This window comes from Homo sapiens, chromosome 1 (assembly GCF_000001405.40).
Source record: "Homo sapiens chromosome 1, GRCh38.p14 Primary Assembly".
Classification (NCBI taxonomy): Eukaryota; Metazoa; Chordata; class Mammalia; order Primates; family Hominidae; genus Homo; species Homo sapiens.
The window spans coordinates 174,776,213-174,802,132 of NC_000001.11; the positions used below are offsets into that span (position 1 = coordinate 174,776,213).

Consider the following 25,920-nt stretch of genomic DNA (forward strand, 5'->3'; position numbering starts at 1 on the left):
TATAAAAAAAAATTAGCTGGGTGTGGTGGCAGGTGCCTGTAATCCCAGCTACTCGGGAGGCTGAGGCAGGAGAATTGCTTGAACCCCGGTGGGTGGAGGTTGCAGTGGGCTGAGATTACACCACTGCACTCCAGCCTGGACAAAACAATGAGACTTCATCTCAAAAAATAAAAAAAAAATAATAATAAAGTTGGTATTAGAGAATAGTACATCCTCCTAGGGAGCTGCACACTTTCAAAAACTTGCTACTTGTGGAGATTTGGAAGCCCAAGAGTTGTGTTAGTGATCAAACAAATGACTCTTTTTTAGGCCAATTTTGATTTCTTTTGGGAAATAATTCTCTGAATACTTTTGTCGACTTGTGGTCTTTTTGCTTGCATTCAGTTCCTTCTGAGTAAACAGGTCTAAAGATTTCTTCTAGACATAGTTCCTAAATCTTCTCATTTATTTGTTTACCTGTTTGCATTTAATGGCCCATCCTTTTTCCCTCCATTTTAATGGTGGTTACCCTGAGGCTAGCTAAAATCACAAACTGGAGTCAGAAGGCAATACCATTAATTTGATCTTTGCCTGTTAGCTGGCTGTATGTTTTGGCTGAGAAGTCTTAATGAGAGGTACTTAGGAAAAATGTAGAGCCTTTTAAATCCTTCTGTTTGGGGACAAGTAGTTTGATTTTCTAATCCTGTATCCTTAAATTACTGTACTTAATCAGTTTAGATTGTAGACCATGTTCTCTGAAGTGACAGGTATTATAGGCACACAGTCTGCCTTCCAAGTTATCAAAGGCAGTAGTTTTACTAAATATTGTGACATGACATAAAAAGGATCATTAGTTTTCCAGACTGCAATATTGGTTTTTTCACCTTGATCTTTACTCAGCCACAAAGCCAAGAAACATATTTGACGTTTTAAGTTTTTATTTTGGCAGTAAATCAATTCTGGTTACCTATCCCAAAATATAATACCTTAAATAAGAATTTTTTTTCTTTTTATGTGATGGTATGTGGAGATAGCACATGGTCCAGACCTTTATGCATCTCAGCTCCATGAGATCATTCACAGACTTGTGTTCTTTTCATCCTGTTGTTCTGCAGCAGTATTTCTCATGCTCAGAACTATTGGCATTTTGGGGCAGTTAATTCTTTGTTATAGGTGGCTGTCATGTGCATTACAGGATGTTCAACAGTACCCCTCATCTCTACAGGATGCCCATAGGACATGCTCAGTTGAGACAAACAACATCTGCAGACATTGCCCAGTGTTCCCCTGGGGGCAAAATCACCCCTGGTTGAGCATCATTGCTTTATAGTTGCCTAGGATCTCATCGTCATCTGCATGATCAAAGCAGATTTTGATCCATAATGAAGAGAAAAATCAATCATTCGAAATCACTCTAGATTTTATAATTGGCAGACAAAAACATTAATACTGTAACTTTATTCCATATGTTCAAAAAAATAAGTAAAGAAATGCAAGATATTTAAAAAGAACCAAATTAAACTTTAAGAGATAAAAATTACAATGTCTGATAGAACTAAGAAATACATTGAATAGGATGAAGGGCAGATGGGACATTGCAGAAGAAAAGATTAGTGAACTTGAAAACATAGCAATTGAAACTATTCAAAATTCAATACAAAGAAAAAGCAAATTTAAAAAAAGGCAGAAAGGAGCATCAGTGAGCTGTGAAATCCTTCAAAAGGCCTAATGAATGTGTAATTGGAGGACCTGAAGGAAAGGATGGGAGTGAATGGTGGGCAAAAAGCACTTGAAGAAATAATGGCTGATATTTTTCCAAATTTGATGAAAATTTTTCCAAATTTGATGAAAATTATAGACCCAAGAAGTTTAGTGAATTCCAAGCAAAAGAAATATGAAGAAAACTACATCAAGGCGTGTTATGATGAAATTGCTCAAAACCAGTGATAAAGGTAAAATCTTAAAAAGCATCCAAAGGAAAAAAGATAATATGTGTAAAGAAACAAAGAAAAGTATATCAGCAGATTTCTCCTTAGAAACAGTGCCAGCAATAAGACAGTGGGACCACATGTTAAAAATACTAAGCAAAACAAAACAAATGCAAAAATGTCTCTCAAAAACTAAGATGAAATGCTTTTATAGACATACAAAAGCTAAAAGAATTCATCACTAGGAGATCTGGATTACTGAAAATGTTAAAGGAAGTCCTAAGGAAGAAGCAAAATAATACTTCACAGAAATATGAATCTGCTCTATGCAAAAGAATTGGGGAGCGTGGCAAATGGTACCTATGTGGGTAAAAATGTAATAAGAGTACAATTCTGTATTCTTCAGGTCCTTTCTTTGCTTATCACTTTGGTGGGTTTCTCTTCCTCTGTAGCTTTCAACAATAAGTCCTTGAACCTTCTGCATTTTTTTTTTAAGTCAGAGTCTCACACTGTCACCGAGGCTGGAGTGTAATGGCGTGATCTCAGCTCACTGCAATCTCCACCTCCTGGGTTCAAGCGATTCTCCTGCCTCAGCCTCCCGAGTAGCTGGAATTACAGGTGCCTGCCACCATGCCCGGCTAATTTTTTGTATTTTTAGTAGAGATGGGGTTTCACTATGTTGGCCAGGCTTGTCTCAAACTCCTGACCTTGTGATCCACCCACCTTAGCCTCCCAAAGTGCTGGGATTACAGGAGTGAGCCACTGCACCCGGCCACCTTCTGCATTTTTATATTGCATTATTGCCTTTGGAGAAGTCGTAAATACACTTTTCAAAAAAAGTAATTTCTAATTTTTGTCCTAACCCAACTTCCAATTTAATAACTGTAGTGATTCTATATAAAATCTTCAGTGGGCCAGGCAACTTGTGTACAGCACAACTTCAGGGATACCATTCCCATAGACTATGATTGCACATCTGTACATCATGTTTCTGATTATAACACTGCATTCACCTTTTCACTCTCCCATCAAAAGTATTTGAGTTGAACTTGAGTACTGTTTCCTAAAAACATCTTTATCTCATATATCATCTCCCCTTTTCTTTGTATAATACTGAGCCTTCCTAGCCCTTATGTTGTGGCTTAAACCCCACCTTCTTTAAAGGATGATTCTAAACTCTTTCTGCCCAAAATGAACATCTACTGTGATTATACCATGTGTCATTCATTATGACACCAAAATGCCATCTTGTTGTTATTTAGATGTTTTGTATGTGTATGTCTTGTCTTGAATTCTTCAATTAAACTGTTTATTTTTTAAAGACAGTGTGAGGCTGTTTATCCCCTAGGAGAGCAAGTGAAGTTCTGCATGTTCAGCAAGCATCCCTAATCCCAGAATTGATGCATAAAGTAGCAAAAGGCCAAAGGATTATTAACCTTATGTTTTTTCCAGTTGTTCTATTTAAGCAAACTACACCCCATCTAAAACAAGGTTTGAAGTAGTTTGGACTTTTCCCTAAAGATTTGATTTCTGCTTGGTTTTGAAGTTTTGTATTAGAAAGAAATCATACTAACCCTTACTTCATTTGATTAATATTTGTTAATTGTTTATATGGTAAATACAGGTCTCTTCACATAGATTATGTATACTGAACTCCTTTCTTTTGAATACAAAAGCCCCATATTTCCCAAATTTAGTTTTTATTTAAACAATCATATCCTGGATCACCTGAGGTCAGGAGTTTGAGACCAGCCTGACCAACATGGTGAAACTCCATCTCTACTAAAAATACAAAAATTAGCTTGGTGTGGTGGGAGGCACCTGTAAAACCAGCTACTTGGGAGGCTGAGGCAGGAGAATTGCTTGAGCCCAGGAGGGGGAGATTGCAGTGAGCCGAGATAGTGCCACTGCATTCCAGCCTGGGAAACAAGAGTGAAACTCCATCTTACAATAAATAAATAAATAAATAAATAAATAAATAAATAAATAAATAAATAAATTAAATAAGCCCTAATTAAAATTTCCCTCAGTATTACCAGTGTTGGGTATGGCCTCACATTGTTTCCATCCTGCTTTTCCCATATTTAATAGGCCCTCACTGACTCCTGAATATTGAAAATTGAGTTCAAATACATAGTTTATTCCTCGAAATCCTCCCTCCATACTCTGCTCAGATGGATGATTCCAACCTCACCATGGATCTCTGCTCTACCTAAACTGGAAGTGGACTCAAGATTAGCCACACATACCTTACGCTTGCCTGCTTTCTGTCTGGGAATAGGCTTCCTCCAGCCTTCCTAAATCTCATGTTTTTCAAGTCTAGCTCCTATCTAACCCCTGATCATCAGTTACCTTCCTCTATTTTTACATTATCATCCTAAATAGAGATAACTCACAGGGAATACTGTTGTATTATAGTTTACTTGCTAAAGTACATGCTTTTGATATATATATATATTTTTATTATACTTTAAGTTCTAGGGTACATGTGCACAACGTGCAGGTTTGTTACATATGTATACATGTGCCATGTTGGTGTGCTGCACCCATTAACTCGTCATTTACATTAGGTATATCTCCTAATGCTATCCCTCCCCCCCACCCCCCCACCCCACAACAGTCCCCGGTGTGTGATGTTCCCCTTCTTGTGTCCAAGTGTTCTCATTGTTCAATTCCCACCTGTGAGTGAGAACATGCGGTGTTTGGTTTTTTGTTCTTGCGACAGTTTGCTGAGAATGATGGTTTCCAATTTCATCCATGTCCCTACAAAGGACATGAACTCATCCTTTTTATGGCTGCATAGTATTCCATGGTGTATATGTGCCACATTTTCTTAATGCAGTCTATCATTGTTGGACATTTGGGTTGGTTCCAAGTCTTTGCTATTGTGAGTAGTACCGCAATAAACATACATGTGCATGTATCCTTATAGCAGCATGATTTATATTCCTTTGGGTATATACCCAGTAATGGGATGGCTGGGTCAAATGGTATTTCTAGTTCTAGATCCCTGAGGAATCGCCACACTGACTTCCACAATGGTTGAACTAGTTTACAGTCCCACCAACACTGTAAAAATGTTCCTATTTCTCCACATCCTCTCCAGCACCTGTTGTTTCCTGACTTTTTAATGATCGCCATTCTAACTGGTGTGAGATGATATCTCATTGTGGTTTTGATTTGTATTTCTCTGATGGCCAGTGATGATGAGCATTTTTTCATGTGTCTGTTGGCTACATAAATGTCTTCTTTTGAGAAGTGTCTCTTCATATCCTTCACCCACTTTTTGATGGGGCTGTTTTTTTCTTGTAAATTTGTTTGAGTTCTTTGTAGATTCTGGATATTAGTCCTGTGTCAGATGAGTAGATTGCAAAAATTTTCTCCCATTCTGTAGGTTGCCTGTTCACTCTGATGGTGGTTTCTTTTGCTGTGCAGAAGCTCTTTAGTTTAATTAGATCCCATCTGTCAATTTTGGCTTTTGTTGCCATTGCTTTTGGTGTTTTAGACATGAAGTCCTTGCCCATGCTTATGTCCTGAATGGTATTGGCTAGGTTTTCTTCTATGGTTTTTATGGTTTTAGGTCTAATATTTAAGTCTTTAATCCATCTTGAATTAATTTTTGTATAAGGTATAAGGAAGGGATCCAGTTTCAGGTTTCTACATATGGCTAGCCAGTTTTCCCAGCACCATTTGTTAAATGGGAATCCTTTCCCCATTTCTTGTTTTTCTCAGGTTTGTCAAAGATCAGATGGTTGTAGATGTGTGGTCTTATTTCTAAGGGCTCTGTTCTGTTCCATTGGTCTGTATCTCTGTTTTGGTACCAGTACCATGCTGTTTTGGTTACTGTAGCCTTGTAATATAATTTGAAGTAAGGTAGCGTGATGCCTCCAGCTTTGTTCTTTTGGCTTAGGATTGACTTGGCGATGCGGGCTCTTTTTTGGTTGCATATGAACTTTAAAGTAGTTTTTTCCAATTCTGTGAAGAAAGTCATTGGTAGCTTGATGGGGATGGCACTGAATCTATAAATTACCTTGGGCAGTATGGCCATTTTCATGATATTGATTCTTCCTATCCCTGAGCATGGAATGTTCCTCCATTCGTTTGTGCCCTCTTTTATTTCATTGAGCAGTGGTTTGCAGTTCTCCTTGAAGAGGTCCTTCACATCCCTTGTAAGTTGGATTCCTAGGTATTTTATTCTCTTTGAAGCAATTGTGAATGGGAATTCACTCATGATTTGGCTCTCTGTTTGTCTGTTATTGGTGTATAAGAATACTTGTGATTTTTGTACATTGATTTTGTATCCTGAGACTTTGCTGAAGTTGCTTATCAGCTTAAGGAGATTTTGGGCTGAGACGATGGGGTTTTCTAGATATACAGTCATGTCATCTGCAAACAGGGACCTGCTTTACTTAAATGCTGTGTAAAGAATTTGGTGGAAGCTCTTTGAAATTTTTCTTCATTTGTTACTCTTCTCTGGAGGAGCTCTGCATTTCCGCATGGGATGTCAGTTTGCATCACAGTAGAGAATGGACATTTTGTGGGTACCGTGGATTGAGCTAGTGGTATTGAGAGACAGGACTAAGCTGGATTTCCTAGGCCGACTAAGAATTCCTAAACCTAGCTGTGGACGGTGACCACACCCACCTTTAAACACGGGGCTTGTAACTCAGCTCACACCTGACCAATCAGGTAGTAAAGAGGGCTCACTAAAATGCAAATTAGGCTAAAAACAGGAGGCAAAGAAGTAGTCAAATCATCTATCATCTGAGAGCACAGGGTGAGGGACAATGATTGGGATATAAACCCCAGGCATTCCGGAGCTGGGATCGGGCAACCCCCTTTGGGTCCCCTCCCATTGTATGGGAGCTCTGTTTTCACTCTATTAAATCTTGCAACTGCACACTCTTTTGGTCCATGTTTGTTCTGGCTGGAGCTGAGCTTTTGCTCACCGTTCATCACTGCTGAATGCTACCATCGCAGACCCACCGTTGACTTCCAGCCCTCTGGATCCTGCAGGGTGTCCGCTGCACTCCTGATCTAGTGAGGCGCCCATTGCCCCTCCTGATGGGGCTAAAGGCTCGCCATTGTTCCTGCGTGGCTAAATGCCCAGGTTTGTCCTATTCTAGCCAAACACTAGTCGCTGGGTTCAACGGTTCTATTCCGTGACTCACGGCTTCTAATAGAGCTATAACACCGCATGGCCCAAGGTTCCATTCCTTGGAATCTGTGAGGCCAAGAACCCCAGGCCGGAGAACAAAAGGCTTCCTACCATGTTGGGAGCAGCCGTCACCATCTTGGGAGCTCTAAGAACAAAGACCCACCCTGCCCCCGCCGCCCGTAACAGTATGAGGGAGTACCAGATAAGAAATCTAAATACATTCCTAGGTCTTCCTGAGCTAGTTCTTTTTTGTAATGACTTCATTATTCAAGTTAATGCCTAATACCTAAGAGATATTCAAATAGAATTGCGACAACTTACTCAAATCTGTATTCATCTTCAATTTGAAATTAGTACTGCCATTCTCTGTTGATAATTGAGAGGTTACTGAACATCTTTGCATCTTTGATATGTTTTCTTCTTCTTCTTCTTTTTTTTTTTTTTTTTTTTGAGATGGAGCCTCACTCTGCCGCCAGGCTGGAGTGCAGTGGCGTGATCCCAGGTCACTGCAACCTCCACCTCCCGAGTTCAAGTGATTCTCCTGCCTCAGTCTCCCTAGTGGCTGGGACTACAGGCGCATGCCACCATGCCTAGCTAATTTTTTTTATCTTTACTAGAGAAGGGGTTTCACCATATTGGCCAGGATGGTCTCCATCTCATGACCTCATGATCCTCCCGCCTCGCCCTCCTAGAGTGCTGAGATTACAGGCCGTGAGTTTTTCTTCTTCTTCTTCTTTTTTTTTTTTTTTTTTTTTTTTTTTGAGACAGAGTCTGGCTTGTCACCCAGGCTGGAGTGCAGTGGTGCGATCTCGGCTCGCTACAAGCTCCGCCTCCCGGGTTCAGGCCATTCTCCCGCCTCAGCCTCCCGAGTAGCTGGGACTACAGGCACCCGCCATCACGCCCGGCCAATTTTTTGTATTTTTAGTAGTGACGGAGTTTCACCGTGTTAGCCAGGATGGTCTTGATCTTCTGACCTCGTGATCCGCCCACCTCGGCTCCCGAAAGTGCTGGGATTACAGGCTTGAGCCACCGCGCCTGGACTCAGTTTTTCTTCTTTTATTTGGATAACTATAGATTTACCTACTTATTCTCTATTCTTCCTTCTCTTTAGTGCTCTGTTGTCAATTTATTATATTTATCTTATCTCAGATTTCTTTTCTTTCTTTTATATGACCAGTGTGCAATCCCTCCTATATTGTGGTGGGAGGTGGGAGAGGTTTACCCCAGCAAGCGTGGGACTGGTAGTGGAAACATCTTCTACCCAGACATGGTAATGTTTTATTTTGTAAAGGTTGAGTTGAGTAGATGAACTGAAGGAGGTAATTGAGACAAGTGTGGGCCATCAAGCAAGACTGGCCTGAGGGGCATGTCAGGAATCGGAGTTCAAAGCCAAGAATAGACCAAACTGCAGGAAAGCAAAAGCAAAATCAAAATGAGTGTAAAGGAAGGCAGCCTAGAAATGGGGGTAAGGGTAGTGTGTGGAGAGCAACGTGGGTGTTTACCTGGTACTAGGCTTTTACATGTTCTACAAGCCCTTGCATGGTTGAGGAAGCTCCATTTTGAAGAATCAGTATTGGAGCAGAAGCCACCAGTCAGTTTCTTCTTGATTATTAAATCATAAGCAACTCCTCCTTAAATAAAAAGTAATGAAAGATGGCATATTTTAAATAGGACCCATTGTATTCTCAGTAGCATTTAAATGAAAAGGTATGTTTTGGGGGTGAGAATATACTACAGTATTTCACAATACAATATTTCCATATGAGTGATTTTATTTTATTTTTTTATTTTTGTTTTTATTTTTGAGACAGAGTTTCACTCTTGTTGCCCAGGCTGGAGTACAATGGCGCAATCTCGGCTCACTGCAACCTCTGCCTGCCGGGTTCAAGCAATTCTCCTGCCTCAGCCTCCTGAGTAGCTGGGATTACAGGCATGCGCCGCCAATCACAACTAATTTTGTATTTTTAGTAGAGACAGGGTTTCACTGTGTTGGCCAGGCTGGTCTCAAACTCCTGACCTCAGATGATCCACCCATTTCAGCCTCCCAAAGTGCTGGGATTACAGGCGTGAGCCACTGCACTCACCCTGAGTGATTTTAAAATAGAGAATTGTCTTGTTCTGAGATTAAGGTTAGCTTATCGTTCAGCTACTGTTTCAGTAAAATAAATAATTCCAGTAAAGGAACGATAATTGTAGTTATCTTGGCTTGGTATATTATGCTATGGTTAGGCAATTTTAGAGTAAAGAGAAGAAATCAAAAGCTCTTGCTTAGCACACTTGCTGCTTAGGCATTCTTGTTGGAAAATAATGCGTTCTCATTTCAGAGCAAAGACAGCAAAGCTGACTCTGGTATTTGGAGAGCTAAAGGAGTGAAACTTCTTTTAAGAACGGGACCATTCGAGCCCTGTAGGAGCTTTTGAGCATGCGTATTCAACTGCTCACTCTCATGTCTATAACCCACGCTGCTTCTCCACCGTTATGTGCAGACCATAAGCCCTACAGTGGTGACAGCTGCTTTTAGGCCCCTTTGCCTTAAATACAGTAGAATGCTTATATATTAGACTTTTAGTTCTTGAATTTTGGCTAGATATTTCAACTTTCATTTAAATGTTGTAACATCCCATGATCAGAGCATTATAACCTGGAGTATCACTGATAGGAAAGAAATAGTAAAAAAAAGTATGTAAATATGTAAATGTAAACATAAATGGAAATTTGAACTCAGTTATTTGACTAATGTGTGTATACCATCTGGCTAACTCCATTTCAAACACCTTATGCATTTACTTGTAGTTTTTATCTTCTCTAAATATAATAACTTGTAGAGGAGGAGTGTGGAAGAGTCTTCCATTTACCAAAGTGATTTCTGTGTCATTTTCTTGAGTTTGATTTCAGTCTTGTGACTGGTAAATTCTAAGTATCTGCCCTTTTGAGCAAATAAACTTGTCAATCAGATATTTTCTAAAGGGGATATTTTTTGTTAATATTAGTTTAGGTTCATGTGGACATTGTTTAAAAAGCTTTGGGAACTTTAATGATTGGATTTTATAACACTTTATTAGTTATAGCCAACTATGTTACTACTTCCATCAACACCCATACTCTGTTTCTTTGTGAAATGAAAAATATTGTTTTATTTGACACTCTCCTCCTTATTATATTGTACACAGTAAAATCCAAACGGAAGCCAATAACTTCTGAACTCTAATTGTGTCCATCCTGTAAAGCATATGGGTTTGTTCACTGATTCACTTCCAGAGAACTAGGTCATCATCATGAGAACCCCCACATTCCCCAAATCAAATTTACATGTTCTTGAAGGAACACCAAATGGTAATGAGTACTTTGCTAAATAACGTTGACCTTTATTTATTTTCTTATGGATTTTATGCTGCTTTACTATGTGTCAGTATCCCTCCCTTCTTTTAGAAATCCATAAACATTGCACTTGCTTTCATTTTGAACTTTCTTCTTACTAATTTAGACATTAAATAAAAGAGACATATATGCTTATTATCCCCTAGTTTAATATATATATTTTAAAAAGTTAAGCTGATATTTTAATTTTATTTCTTCACGTGAGCATCATTTATTCATTTGTTCATTTACTCAATATGTATTTAAATGATCTCTGACCACAGTGACTAAAAACTGTTGGGTACTAGAGGTGCGAAAATGAATATGTTGTGTGGTTAATCTCAGAGTTTCACTGGGAAGTAGGGGAGACAGACGTGCCTACAAATAATTGTCGTAGAAGAGTTGTTATTGTAGGGTCATAAATGGGACAGGATGCAAAGGCAGAGGAGGGAAGTAATGACAGGGATGACTTGAAAGAGAAAGTGAGGCTGGACATAGTGGCTCACACCTGTAATCCCAGCACTTTGGGAGGCCGAGGTGGGTGGATCACCTGAGGTCAGGAGTTCCAGACCAGCCTGGCCAACATGGTGAAACCCTGTCTCTACTAAAAAAACAAAAATGAACCGGGCGTGGTGGTGTGTGCCTGTAATCCCAGCTACTTGGGAGGCTGAGGCAGGAGAATCGCTTGAACCTGGGAGGTGGAGATTGCAGTGAGCTGACATTGCACCATTGCACTCTGGCCTGGGTGACAGAGCAAGACTCTGTGTCAAAAAAAAAAAAAAAAAAATAAGAGAAAGTGACATCTGACTCTTGAAAGATTAGCAAGACAAAACAAGGAATGATGTTTTAGGCAACAAGAACAATATATGTAGATAAGAAAAGCATAATTTTTAAAAAGCATATTTGGGAAATAATGAGAAGTTTCATGAGGACATTGGGCATGAGGGGTCAAGGTGACAGATGCAATTGGAAAGGTAGGATAGATCTAGCTTGTCTGAAGGATGTCTTGTGCTTTGAACCTGTGGACCAGAGGATATGGATACTTTCAGACAATTGCATGATCAAATGTTTTGTTTTAGGAAGATAATTTGGAGGCGAAAAGACTGAAATGTGAAGGTACTGGTAATACATATGGAGAATAGTTAGGATACTATTAGAATAGTCTGGGGGAGAAATAATGAAGGCTTCTTTAACCAAGGCTGCAACAATAGGGGTGTAGAGGGGCAAACTGAGCAGCATTTCCCAGGTACTGTAGGGAACTTGGGTACAGTTGGATATGTGAGACAACGAATAGTGAGTCATTACTATCCTCCACTTTTCTTTTATCTTCCTTTTAAAAACTTCCCTGTCCTGGTCTCTCTTTAATTTTAAGGAAAAGAGCTGCTAAAATGTGTGCTTTATAGAGAAAGAAGCTTACTAGACCTTACATGTTCTCACTTATGGCATTTAGTGATAACCAGGGTGTCCCTAAGCAATTGAATAGTGATACCAGACCAGCTTCTGCATGGTACAGCTTTAATGTATTATTGTTTGAACTTCATTAATAATTAGACTTGCGACGAAAGTAACCAGTTCAAGTGATCTTATAATCAACTTTGTGCCTCAGCACCTGGAACTTTGAGAGAGCCACTGTGTTCATTTATCAGGAGGCATTCTGCTTCCTCTGTGGTGTGCCATTCCCTGACTTGGTAAAGAATATTGTCTCTCTGGCAGTTTTGTATTAGTGAGTTATACAAAGGAGGTCATAGCAAACCACCTGTACTTTAGAAAGTTAACACAGAAACACTGAAGAGGTATTTCTTCTTTGTGGTACTTCTTATATTCAAGCTTGGCTCTATTTCCGTAGCACACCAGTCCAGGCTCTCATTTTCTCACATTCGATTGACTACAAGAGCTTTCTGACTTGTCTACCTTCAGTCTCTTCCTCTCTTAAGCTGTCCTGCCCTCTGCTATTAGATTAATCTTTCTAAAAGGTAATCTTCGTAGCATTCCTCACCTACTTGTTGTCCAGTACCCATCTTTTTGGAATTCCATTTTCATCATAATTTGGCCTCAGATGTACTTACTGGCCTCAAATGTACCTATTGGACACATTGGGATGAAGTCTTGTTCTGTTGCCCAGGCTGGAGTGCAATGGCATGATCTCGGCTTACTGGAACCTCCATCTCCCAGGTTCCAGTGATCCTCGTGCCTCAGCCTCCTGTGTAGCTGGAATCACAGGCGTGCACCACCACAACTGGCTAATTTTTTTGTATTTTTAGTAGAGATAGGGTTTCACCATGTTGCCTAGGCTGTTCTCGAACTCCTGAGCTCAGGCCATCCTCTCTCTTCAGCCACCCAAAGTGCTGGGGGTTCAGGTGTGAGCCACTGCAGTCAGCCTGTTTTATGCTTTTAAGTTTCTTCTCTTTCCTGAAGTAGTTGACTGTTACATAACATGTATTATCCAAAGTTCACAGGATACTCTAAATACCAATATTATGATATCCTTATTTTTAAATATAGAAACCTTTCTCCTCTTACCAAAAACCACAGTGACTCAGCTACTTGCATGTCTAAAATGGTCTCTGCATTTTTCTGTGGCTAGTCTTTATGATGGTTATAGATCAGTAATAGCCTTTTTGGAAGCATAATATTATGTATTAATCATGGCATTCTTAAGGAATCACTGCAATTAACCAGGTAGACCAATTTAGTTGGACCGTGGTCTGTTTTTTTAGTATGTAAAAACATGGGTTCAGGGGATTAAAACAACTCAACATTCATGAAGAATATATTTTCAGATGCTCTTACATTCCCTGATTTTTCAATACTGCTACGATTTTTTTTTACAGAGTTTCTTTACTTATGAAATTGATATAAAATAACTGCCTTGTCATAAGAATGTATAATAACTGAGAAGGGCAAAGACTGTAAGCTAAATTTACTCAGCATCTGCTACATGGGAGTGACTCAGTTCATTGCTCAGCAAACCCACAAGTTACTGTGTTGTGTCTCTGTGGGGTCTCCTGGGGAGAACAGAAACAATAAATGTTAAATCTGTAAATGTGTCAAGGGGTCACTGTGGTTGACTCTTGGTTGCTAAAGGAAACAGAGGTTCTAAGGCCCTGTAAAATTATAATATTTCAAAGTGAAAATGAATGAATTAATAGAAGAAGCTGAGACAAGGATCTTATTTTGTGTTTGTTTTCCTCTCAATACCCTTGCCAATTAACATTTTTTGAATCTCTTGCTCTTCTCCACTGTAAGCCTGCCCTGATATTTTCTAATTGGATACAGAGATAATACATAACTGGCCAGGTGTGGTGGCTCATGACAGTAATCTTGGCACTTTGGGAGGCTGAGGTGTGCAGAGCACTGGAGGCCAGGAGTTCAAGACCAGCCTGGCCAACATAGTGAAACCCCATCTCTACTAAAAATACAAAAAAATTAGCTGGCTGTGGTGGCTCACACCTGTGGTTCCAGCTGCACAGGAGGCTGAGACACGAGGATAACTGAAACCTGGGAAGCAGAGGTTGCAGTGAGCCGAGATCATGCCACTGCATTCCAGTCTGGGAGACAGAGCAAGACTTTGTCTCAAAAAAAAAAAAGAGAATACGTAACAAAGAAGTAAGAAAACAATTTCAAGTGGTGATAAATGTCATAAAAGAAATAATACAAATTTTTTACTGCCCTTCATTAGATAAAGATAGTAAGAGAGAAGGCCTCTGGGCCGGGCACGGTGGCTAATGCCTGTAATCCTAGCACTTTGGGAGGCCAAGGTGGGTAGATCACCTGAGGTCAGGAGTTCGAGACCAGCCTGACCAACATGGTGAAACCCCGTCTCTACTAAAAATACAAAATTAGCCAGGCATGATGGCTGGCTATTTTTGAATGCCAGTAATCCTAGCTACTCAGTAGGCGGAGTCAGGAGAATCGCTTGAACCCAGGAGGCAGAGGTTGCAGTGAGCCAAGATTGCGCTATTGCACTCTAGCCTGGGCGACAAAAGTGAAAAAAAAAAAGAAAAGAGAAAGCCTCTGTGAGCAAAATGACATTGGAATTGAATGATGCAGTAGAGCTAGCCATATGAAGATTGGCGGCAAAAACGGTGCAGAGGCCCTTCTGAAATTCTGCTGCATCTATTTGAAGCCATGAGTGTGTGTGTGTGTGTGTGGGCAGGGGGCGGGGGGTATGTGTTTATGTATGGTGGGAGAGCTAGAGTGGGAGGAGGCTGTGCAATCTATTACCACCTTTGTTTCACAACATGGACTTGTCCATTTCAAGAAAAAAAAAATGAGGCTGAGCGTGGTGGCTTACACCTGTAATCCCAGCACTTTGGGAGGCTGAGGTGGGTGGATCACTTGAGGTCAGGAGTTCGAGACCAGCCTGGCCAACATGGTGAAACCCCGTCTCTACTAAAAATACAAAAATTAGCCTGGCGTGCTGGCACGTGCCTGTAATCTCAGCTACTTGGGAGGCTGAGACAGGAGAATTGCTTGAACCCAGGAGGCAGAGGTTGCAGTGAGCCAAGATCGTGCCATTGCACTCCAGCCTGGGTGAAGAAGAGAGACTCCATCTCAAAAAAAAAAAAAGAAAAAAAAATGAATGTCCCTATCTTGACATATTAATTTTGTAGAAATAAATTCACTTGCTAATACATGGGTTGGCCCATATAACTCCTCCATTGAAAATATTATTTTTTACAGTGACAGCTGTTAAACATATACCTAACATTCTATGTAATATGAAGATGAAGATGTTAGAGATTGCAAATTTAATAGGGAATTGGAGATGGACCATAGGAAGAAGGTAGAGACAATTCACAACTTACTAGGATGAGTACAACACCTCATTATTTTTTAACAGCAATGACAATACACACACATAAAGATAAAAAAATGCTGGTCTAGCTTGAGAGGATCAGGGAATAGTCTAGATTCTATACACGATAATTTTAATCTGATCAATTCAAAATTTAAAAACAGGCTTCTGCTAACATATGTTTATACCTTCTGCTTAAGCTTGAAAATAAATATGAGCTTTATCCACACTGTCCAGGAAAGGGGATGAACGAACTGAGATAGCATTCCATTTTCAAGCCTGTGCCACTAACATGGCTTCAAGAAAGCAGCTCTTACAGAGACGCTGTGGCTGAGCTGCCAAGGATGTAGCTCCTTGAACTGTTCATCTGGAAAAGAAAGTGCTTATCAGTTAAAAATTGAGAAGGCAGATGTGCTTTATTATAACAACTGTGTGTTTAGAAGTGACAGTTCTCAGGGCAGACTTGTGGATACCCCTTCTCAACTCAACCTAAGAATCTTAGATTCTTTCTTACCAGATGGCAGGCTCAGGTTCCTGACCAGTTCCACGTGGAATAAAGTGGTGAAGCATAATCTTTCTAATAAGATAGGTTCTTTATGGGATACATTACTTGAAAGACCAGATTACAGTGCAGGAAATGCTAGGTTCCCTGCCGTGCATCTGTGCTCTGAATATCTTGGCTTCCTGACTCTGCCTCTGACAAGTTTTATGATGATGAGCAGTCACTTATCTACTGCCTCAGTCTTTTCAACAGGATAAACATGTTAGACCTTGGTGTTTTCTAGGGTCCAACAAGGTTTCATTACTTTATTATTCTGTTATATCTAGAGTATCTGTTTCAGTTTGGGCAGCCCTATGAGAGATACTGTCCAAAGTGTGTTCTTGAAGTAGCAAGCATGATTGTGAATAGTCTAGAATGGTCCAGAAACCACCTCATAGGAGACCCAGTTTGCAGCAGGGATGATTAGCTTAGAGAAAAGAAAATTAAGACTGTCTTTGAATATTTTAATTAACGTCACGTGGAAAAAAAGAAGTAGACTTAGTCTGTGTTGCTGTAAAATATTTAATTGAGGTGACTCTTATAGGAAGTGCTCTAACCACAAAAGGAAAAACAAAACAAAGGGAACAGGAGGAAATTTTTAGAGATGATGGATAAGTTTACGGCACTGATAGTGATAATGGTTTCACAAGTGTATACTTATGGCAAAGTACATCAAATTATACATATAAAATATCTACAACTTTCTGTATGTCAGCCATACTCAATAAAGCAACTAAAACTATATATAACTGAGCCTAGTTACTAGAAGTTTCAGATGTCTGGCTTACTATGTACAGTATAGCCCTTTCCTAAATGTCCAGTAATAAGATAAGCAGCCTATTGAGCTACATGTCAATAATGACACAGAAGTAGAAACAGGCCAGTGCGGTGGCTCACGCCTATAATCCTAGCACTTTGGGAAGCCAAGGCGGGTGGATCATCTGAGGTCAGGAGTTCGAGACCAGCCTGACCAACATGGTGAAACCCCGTCTCTACTGAAAATACAAAATTAGCAGGGTGTGGTGGCGAGCACCTGTAATCCCGGCTACTTGGGAGGCTGAGGCAGGAGAATCACTTGAACTCAGGAGGCAGAGGTTGCAGTGAGCCAAGATTATGCCACTGCACTCCAGCCTGGTTAACAAGAGCGAAACTCCATCTCCAAAAAAAAAGAAAAAAAGAAAAAGATAAAGAAAAACCAAGTAGAAACAAAATGACTCTCTACAGACCATAAGACATTCTTACATTAATAAAGGCATTACAGTAGAATCTGATCACAAGGATTGGCAATAGGTATTAGTGATGCTACCAAGACTATTCAGAATGTTATTAAATTGCTTTTGGTAGGGGAAAGTTCTCCTTTCTATTTAAAAACAAAAAACCTTCTTTAACAGTTATGCCTTAAATTTTACAAGGTTAGAGCATTCCTAAAAAGCTAGGTAAGTCTACAATATTTTACAGAGATGCTATAAACATGTGACCTCAACCACCTACCAAAATGTCAGGTAACTGCACAGTATCTTCTATATTGTACTCTAATTCTTCGATGTTTGAGTTCCAACTATAAAATAATGAGACTCATTTCCCTGTGATACAACTTGTAAGCTCAGTCTCATTACATTTCATTTTAGCTTTTAAGTAGCTTGAATAATCCTTAAAGTTAGAAAGCAGCATCTGATCTGTCTTTCTATATCCAGAAGCATATAGTACAGTGTTGAGCAAAATCAAGACTTTTTTTTTTTTGAGATGGATTTTCACTGTGTCACCCAGGCTGGAGTGCAGTGTCATGATCTTGGCTCACTGCAACCTCTGCCTCCCAGGTTCAAGTGATTCTCCTGCTTCAGCCTCTCCAGTAGCTGGGATTACAGGTATGCAACCACCACACCCAGCTAATTTTTGTATTTTTAGTAGAGACAGGTTTATGATATGTTGGCCAGGTTGGTCTCAAACTCCTGACCTCAAGCGATCCGCCCACCTCGGCCTCCCAAAGTGCTGCGATTACAGGTGTGAGCCACCATGCCCGGCCCAGAATCAAGACTTGAATGAAAGAAAGAGTGTGATTTGTGCAGGATTTTACACTACCACGATGGCACCACTACTCACTGTGTCATCTGTATTTTGACCTGTTTGCTGGATCTTAGGAACTTGCAAAATCATTGAAGGTTCATCTTTTTAAAAATTGTCAATCAGGCAAAGAATAGCTAGAGAATTAGGTTTTGCTCTCCTAGTCAAGAAGGGCATGGATCCTTTGCTACTTATTGATGTGTCTGTGTCTTAGTGAACCGAAGAGGCAGGTGATCTGACAGGAATGTCTTTTCAGTGTTTGACTAACTCTCTTTCTATTGTGAATATATCCAAAGTTCTTTTTGTCTTTCTAAACCCTAACCCAGATAAACGCAATGTATTTTTACACATTTTCTTTTCTTCTATGTGATTTCCTGGAAAGAATGAAAAAAACTACTAGTTGTTGAGCACCTACCATGTGCTAGGCTCTACGAGAGGTTCCTTTATATGCATTAATTTATTAAATTTTCAGAGCAGCTTTGCCAGCTAGGTGATGTTGCCATACAGAAGCTCAGAGGGCTAAGTAACTTATTCATGTCATACAGCTAGTAAATGTGACTAAAAGATGATGTAATAAGCAATGCCCTGTTTTGGTCTTAGAGATATATTTAATTATCATTACTCTTGGATTTTTGTCTAGGCCCATCCCAGTAGTATAAACCCACTTTTGTCTGCATCTACTGTGGACAACAAAGACATACCTACCTCATAGCACACAGTGTGTCACCCCTTTTATAGTGTCCATCACACCCTACTTTATCTTTGTATTTGGATACCTCCCTGATTTTAAGCTCCTGCAGGTCAGAAGGTGTTTCCTTTTTCATTTTTGTAACTACTGAAATAACTACCTAGCATGTTTTGTTACATTCAGTTTTCTTAATTATAGGTCCATGAATTAAGTCAAATGTGCTTTTCATTTTACAATGGAAATCTATATGTGTCCTGAATATGTCTGATAACCATGACACAGTGGAGTGGTTCAGGAAGAGCATTCTCAAGTGCAAGGCTCTAACTGGGATTGCAGCACTGACCACCTGCTTCCAGTACTCCAGAGAATGACACTTCTAGTCATTAGACCATGGCTTTGGGACCATTGCCTGGTTTTTTCTCTTACTCTCTCTTATTGGGTATGAAAGGATTCAGAATATGTCACCCCTCCCCCCCAGTATATCACTGTGGCATAAGGATTATTTTGAGGTAAAGGCGATTAAGGAAAAGCAGACATAGGACAAGCTCTCTGCCATCCCCCGTATGCCTGAAAGTCAAGCATAAATTCCTCTTGTGAAGGTGCCTCGCCACTCACTTTCCATACCAGCAAAGGGATAGCAACCTTATAAATGGAGAGGAGATGGCACCAAGAAAGAGTCTATACAAACAAACCTTATTAACTAGTCTTTATCTGTCATAAGTTTCCCCATATATTTGCCTTCCTACAATTTGTCACCCTAGGAGCTCAAAGTCCTTTTCCTTTGTTTTATCACTTCTCTACAGAAGTATTGTTCCTTATTAACATGCTAATAAACCCCAAGTCCCAAGTTTTTGTTTTTCTGAGACAGGGTCTCACTTTCTCACCAAGGCTGGAGTGTAGTGGCACAATAGTGGCTCATTGCAGCCTTGGCTTTCCAGGCTCAAGTGATCCTCCCACTTCAGCCTCCTGGTTAGCTCAGACTACAGGTGTGTGCCACCATGATTAATTATTGTTGTTATTATTATAATTATTTATAGAGACAAGGTTTTTGCCATGTTGCTCAGGCTGGTCTTGAACTCCTGGGCTCAAGCCATCTGCCTGCCTTGGCGTCCCAAAGTCCTGGGATTATAGGTGTGAGCTACTGTGCCTGGCCTCAGCCCCAAGTACTAACCACTCCTTTGAGTTAGTCATTACTGAGTTTCTCCCATGTGTGTGCATACTACATGTGTTAATAAAGTTCTGTTTATGTTTATCTTGCTAACCTGTATTGTCTCAGACTTATTTGCAGGGCCCCAGGCAGAGAACCTAGGAGGATAGAGGGAATAAGTTTTTCTTCTCTATGGGTGATTCATCCAAAAGAAATGTGAGAAATCATGCATTATTAACTAGTTAAATCGGAAGAGTTTCTTTTCTCTTATTCCATTTTATGGACTACTTTATAACTCAGAAATGTTTTCTGTGAAGTGTTCTGTTGGGTACATGCTTATAATCCCAGCTACTCAGTAGGCTGAGGTAGGAGATCCCTTGAGCCCAGGAGTTCAAGATCAGCCTGGGTAACACAGCAAGACGCCATTTCAAAAGAAGAATGTTCTGTGATTGTTCTGTGATTTATTACTGAATCGCAACAACAATAAAAAAAGTATTTGGGATTTGGGGAGGAAGAGGAGGAAAAGCTCACTGAAATGAGTGATGCTTTTAGGGCTTCAAAAATCCCTAGAATCTCTTTTTTCATTTCACCAAGTAGTGTTCTAGAAGAATCATTTTACCTGATATTGATGAACATTCTATTCTGAAAGAATATCCTGAAAAAAGGACCAGGGCAGAAATGATGGAAATTTTGAATGCAAGGATTTTTGAGGGGAAGCATGAAGGAAACATGAGGGATTTTTGATGGGGAAACTGAAGTACATGACCACTTGTTGTAGTGCCTTGTACACAGCATTTTGTTAAACATACCTAACTGTTTTAAGTGAAACTTGGTTTGCTCATTAAGATAACATATTTTGCTGGGCACGGTGGCTCACACCTGTAATCCCAGCACTTTGGGAGGCCGAGACGGGTAGATCATGAGGTCAGGAGTTGAAGACCAGCCTGGCCAACATGGTGAAACCCCATCTCTACTCAAAATACAAAAGTTAGCCGGGCATGGTGGCACATGCTTGTAATTCCAGCTACTCGTGGGGCTGAGGCAGCAGAATGGCTTGAACCTGGGAGGCGGAGGTTGCAATGAGCTGAGATCACGCCACTGCATTCCAGCCTGGGCAACAGAGCGAGACTCTGTCTCAAAAAAAAAAAATCATATTTTAATTATTACATTTAATACATAGTATATATGATTTTAACTTCTTTTTGTGAGCATCAGAGCCAAACCATACAGTTCCAAAATCATTTTGATTAATTTTTACTTATTTTTACTGGAATCTTTTTGGGCAAGTCCTGTTTCTGGTTTATGTAAGAAAAAATGCTTCAGCTAGTACTTTTCAAGACCAAGTTAGTTGAGTGGAAACATCTTCCCTACCCTTTAAAAAGTCAACTAGAAAAAAATCCTATAACCTAAGAAGTCACTGAATTCTTCATTCACATTTAAGAGCAATTCAGGATGTTCCCTTGTTCTTAAATGTGAAATGTCTATGGCAGTGCTGTACATAGCAGTAGCACAGTCCTATCAAACAAAATTTAATGCAGAACACCAGTATATATACAAGGTAAAAATGGAGCTGAGGGGAGTGTGTGTGTGTCTAAATGTGCGTGGTGTTGGGGGGGTGTGTGTGTGTGGTGTGTGGGATGTGTGTGTAGGGGGTGTGTGTGTGGTGTGTCTGTGGGTGTGTGCAGGAGGGTGTGGGGGGTGTGATGTGTGGGGGTGTATGTGGTGGTGTGTGGGCGTGTAGTGTGGAGTGGGAGTGTGGGTGTGTGGGGGGGTGTGTGGGGAGTGTGTGTGTGGTGTGGGGTATGGGGAGGTGTGGGGGGATGTGTGTGTGTGTGTGGGGTGTGGTGTGTGGTGTGTGGGTGTGGGTGTGTGTGTGTGTTTAGGGATACAGTATGAAAGGCCCAGAACCTTTTCCTTCTTATGGCCTCCCTCTTCCAGCTGAACCTATCCTCATCCTAGGCAGTACATCAAACATTTACTCCAGAACTTTAGGACCTGAAATTTATTTGTATATACGTAATATTCTATGCTTATGATCATTTTACATTAAGATCTTTACTTTGCATAGTTTTTTGTTTTTGTTTTTAGAGATGGGGTTCCACTATGTTGCCCAGGTTAGAGTGTAGTGGCTGTTCACAGGCAGGAACGTAGCACATTAGAGCCTGGAACTCCTGAGCTCAAAGGATCCTCCCACCTCAGCCTCTGGAGTAGCTGGGAATACAGGCACACACTACTGTTCCTAGCTCTACTTTATTTAGTTTGTTAAGAAATCATTTTAGCACTTTGGGAGGCCGAGGCAGGCGGATCACAAGGTCAGGAGATCGAGACCATCCTGGCTAACACGGTGAAACCCCATCTCTACTAAAAATACAAAAAAAAAAAAAAAAAATAGCTGGGTGTGGTGGCGGGCGCTTGTAGTCCCAGCTACTCGGGAGGCTGAGACAGGAGAATGATGTGAACCCGGGAGGCAGAGCTTGCAGCTGAGATGCTGCCACTGCACTCCAGCCTGGGTGACAGAGCGACAATCCGTTTCAAACAAAAAAAAAAAGAAATCATTTTTGGAAGAGATAAAAGGCTTGACAGCAATATATAAATATTTCATTTAAAATAACTTGTTAAATAATACTTAAATGTTAAATTTCTTAAAATTCTTGTTTTTCTGAGATTTTGGAAAAACAAAACCAAATAATATATTGTTAAGGGAGGCAGAATCTCCCTTCCTATTTCTTTAAGCTCATTTTCATAATTAATCTATTTATTTAGGCCTACAGACATACATCAATAAATATGTTTCTATTTGGTTATTTGTAGATATGTAACTCTTATTTGTCAGAGTAGAAAACTAAGACTCACAAAATACATGCTCTGGCTCTCTTAGCCTTGTTTCTCTTTGTACCATGCTATAATTTGTATGGAGAAACCAGCCTGGTACTTAAGAGAGCAACTACAGAACCACAGAATCAAGATGCTGAATATGGATTAGTTAATTGTTAGGATAAAGTTAAGAGACTGTCCCTATGGTGATTTGGTCATTTTGCCTTCATTTGGCTACAACTGATTATTTATTCACAACAAGTAAACTAATATAACACATTAGCACTAAGATTGTAAAATTTTGAACTATGGATAATTTTTATATTACTGGGGAAGGATTAATTTGACCAGAGATTTATCAGAACAATGTTTTCAACTATTAGCTGAGTGTTTATCAAGGTCTGTGGCATACAAAAGTTATTTTTGCTTTGAGAATTTCAATTCTAATAGTTCTTTAAATGTATACTCTTAATACGTGTTAGGTTTTTATTATTTATCATATTGCTTGTTTACAAAAATCTTCCTTTTAATCATGGCCAGCCTTCCCAGAATCCTGAAATGCTTCTTGTATTTGCATTGCAAAGAGTCATTATTATTGCATAAACACTTCAACTTGAGGGTGTGTCATTTCTTGGTTGCTTGGTCTTTGGCTCTTCTGTCCATACTCTATCATTTTACCCTAATACCTCTCTTCTGTAGCGGTTTCAGTCATCTAATAAGGATTGGAACATCCCACTTTAAATCCAAGTATAAGATCTATTCTCGTTGTTAGAAAGCAAGAGTGAATAAAGGTCAGCTGTTCAGATGACTGGCTGTCTGATTTTTTTCTGTGAGCGTCACATGTTAGGAAAAGCTAGTTCATCTCTCTGTGGCTTAGGATTCAACAGCATAAGCTGTCAGACTAACACTGATTGAAGGTAGACTGGGAGGGGGAAGCGCATCTGTCCAATGGCTCGCCATTGGCTTCTTATTACAGCATTCTCCCCTGAGACACACTCTGCATGCTCATTCACCTACCTCCTCCTCTTCCCTCCCCTTCCTTCCCTACCCCTTCATTACTGATTCACAGCGAGAGGCAGCAGCAGCAGCAGTAGCAGCAGCAGCAGCAACAACAGCGCTGCTTGTCACGAATCGAGGATTGCAATGAGCTCATCGTTTTCTCCTTGCAGCTTCACAACTGCCCTGGCTTCCTGGCTACTGCTGCTGCTGTCTTCTCACACATAGACACGCACACACACCCTTTCTCGCACACACACACACACACACACACACACACACACACACACACACACACACTCTCACACATTCTCACATGCTAGACCCTTCTAAGCAGCTTGTCCGTTTTTACACATGTATCTGAACTCTCCTGCATCACTCTTGGCCATTTTCTCGCATTCGATTGCTTTTGCCGTTTTTTATTTAGATCAGTACTTGATTTCATTTTCATTTTCCAGTCTACTTTGGGGTTCTCGCAGTGGATAATTTAGCCAAAATGTTTTTCTTGTGGAGACATTAGCTGACAATTCCCACCACAGACTGGCTTGTACGTCCTCCCAGGGAGACCTAAACCTGGCTCCCCTCCCACCGCAGTTCTTAATATTGTGGATAAGAGATCCATCTTTCTCATTCTGGATACCTACTTAGTGCTCATGGAAGAAGGGGTGCCCTGCCCAGCCCCAGCTGCTAAGCTCACACCTCCTGTCAAAAAGTCCCAGGACATGCACGACGAGAGGAGCAAGCTGGTGAATGAGTATGCGTGTCGAGTGCTGGAACTTCTGGGGATGGGGCATCGTCTGTTTGTGCCTCGGCTTCTGGCGGTGAGATTGTTTTTCATTGAACTTCATTTGTAGGGAATCTGCTATCCTCTGTGAAAATTCCTTGTATCTCTGAAAGAGGCTTGTTGTCTCTGGTTTTCTTCTCCTTCTCCCCATTCTGCCGAGAAGGAAATGCTGAGTGGCCACTGTTGTGCAGCTCATTTGGAGCCTGGTCCACACCACCCCTTAATTGGTTAGAGGAGATCATGGCTCTTTTCTCAGAGCCCAGGGTCACATTAGTGGCATTATCTCTGTGGCAGCAAAAAAATGGTTTTCTGCCTGGCTAGGCTCAGCAATAAAGCAGAATACCCAAGTGCTTGATGTAGGCATTCTGTTATGTATATCTCCAAAGGGTTAAATTTTACAACAGACATAGCAACTTATCTAGACTGTGTGTGGTTTGCTTTCTAACCTCCCCATTAGATTGCCAATTTGATTGTTGTTTTGTTTTGTTTTTTGATAGAGAATTTTACCACCTAAAAATACTTTGGTAGGAAATTTTAGGTTTCTCTCCTAGAATGATTGAACTGTTTATCTGTGAAACAGCTTAAAGCTGCTGGCTTCTGTGCTGTGAATCTGGGAAGTCTGACTTGCTTGTTATTTGATTTCCTGAATAAGAGAAAAATCACCCTTCCTCATTTCCTACCAAGGGTTAAAATTAAATACCCACAATCGCTGTTGCAGGCTTGAGAACTATACCTAGCAACTATTCTATAAGGTAATTGGTTTACAGTAGTCCTATACCATTATGTGGTAATGGAATAAGAATAATTTAGCCTTGTCTGTTTTATAGAATGGAGTTTAATACCATTTTAGACTATTTCCTCACTATGGTTCTCTCATATTAGAGTCTTTTCAGTACAGTATTTACATGACTGAATTTAACTCTTTTCTCTCCTATATCTCCCTTCACTATAATTCATCTCTATTTATACTTATCTTTACAATTACTAGTTCAGTCTTTATGTATGTATTTACATGCAAATATAATCTCTTCTGTACAATCATAACAGACATGTTAGATAGCCATGTAAATAAGAAATTTCCCATCCTAAGGAAAGTCTATTTGTCATTCCAAAACAAAGTTTGATGCAGTGACTAGCATACAATTATAGGGGGGATATTTTTGAGAAATGTAGTTCCTTTGTCATTTAAAGAAGAAATAAAAAGAGCTGAAGACATGTGTTTTAATGTCCAGGTGAAGTCATTACTTCCCTGAACCTCATCTTTTTCTTAAAGGAGAAAACTAAGGATTCATGATTCTATTTAGAAAGGAGTTTTGTTTTGTTTTGTTTTGTTTTGTAAGTGAAATGAGAAGCATTTTATTTCAGGAGTTTTGATATTGTGAAGTGCTAAACTATATTTCAACAAATTCTCTACATCTCTGAGGAATCAGGCTTGGTCTAATATATTTCTGCATCCTAAAGACTACTCAACTTTGTGACTCAAAGGCTTCCAATGGTAACTTTCCAGTAATTTGGTGCCACCTCTCTTTGGCATTTACATTTTCAGTGTTTTGAAGGAAAACATAAATTGGTAATTAAGAATATTTTGCATACTCAACTCTGCATTAGGGATGAATTTAAACTGCCTCTAGTCTGAAAAAATTAATTAGCAATAAAATCCACAGGGAGT

General features: G+C 40.0%; 1 protein-coding gene across 22 annotated transcripts in view, besides 2 other annotated features; it reads left to right on the plus strand.

Annotated features, from left to right (window-relative positions):
* Positions 1–25,920, plus strand: part of RABGAP1L (RAB GTPase activating protein 1 like) — an 835,789-nt gene that overhangs the window by 616,693 nt on the left and 193,176 nt on the right. For 5 of the 22 annotated variants that reach the window (NM_001330989.2, NM_001366454.1, NM_001243765.2 and 2 more), the window contains exon 1: positions 23,526–24,288. The exons of 16 other annotated variants lie outside the window; for them this stretch is intronic. Coding sequence is in view for 3 of the 6 variants with exons in the window: in NM_001243765.2 (NP_001230694.1) it covers positions 24,121–24,288 (168 nt within the window). In the remaining 3 variants the exon portion in view is untranslated. Of the gene's footprint in view, positions 1–17,950; positions 17,986–18,627; positions 18,631–23,525; positions 24,289–25,920 lie in introns of those variants that run through there. One more of the 22 variants, XM_047436058.1, reaches the window with a different exon arrangement.
* Positions 10,848–10,907: a silencer, noted in NCBI's record as "silent region_1565". NCBI's record gives its function as "represses an Ori minimal core promoter by ATAC-STARR-seq in GM12878 lymphoblastoid cells {active_cell/tissue: GM12878}" and the evidence as "EXISTENCE:reporter gene assay evidence [ECO:0000049][PMID:35858748]".
* Positions 13,283–13,342: an enhancer, noted in NCBI's record as "active region_2124". NCBI's record gives its function as "activates an Ori minimal core promoter by ATAC-STARR-seq in GM12878 lymphoblastoid cells {active_cell/tissue: GM12878}" and the evidence as "EXISTENCE:reporter gene assay evidence [ECO:0000049][PMID:35858748]".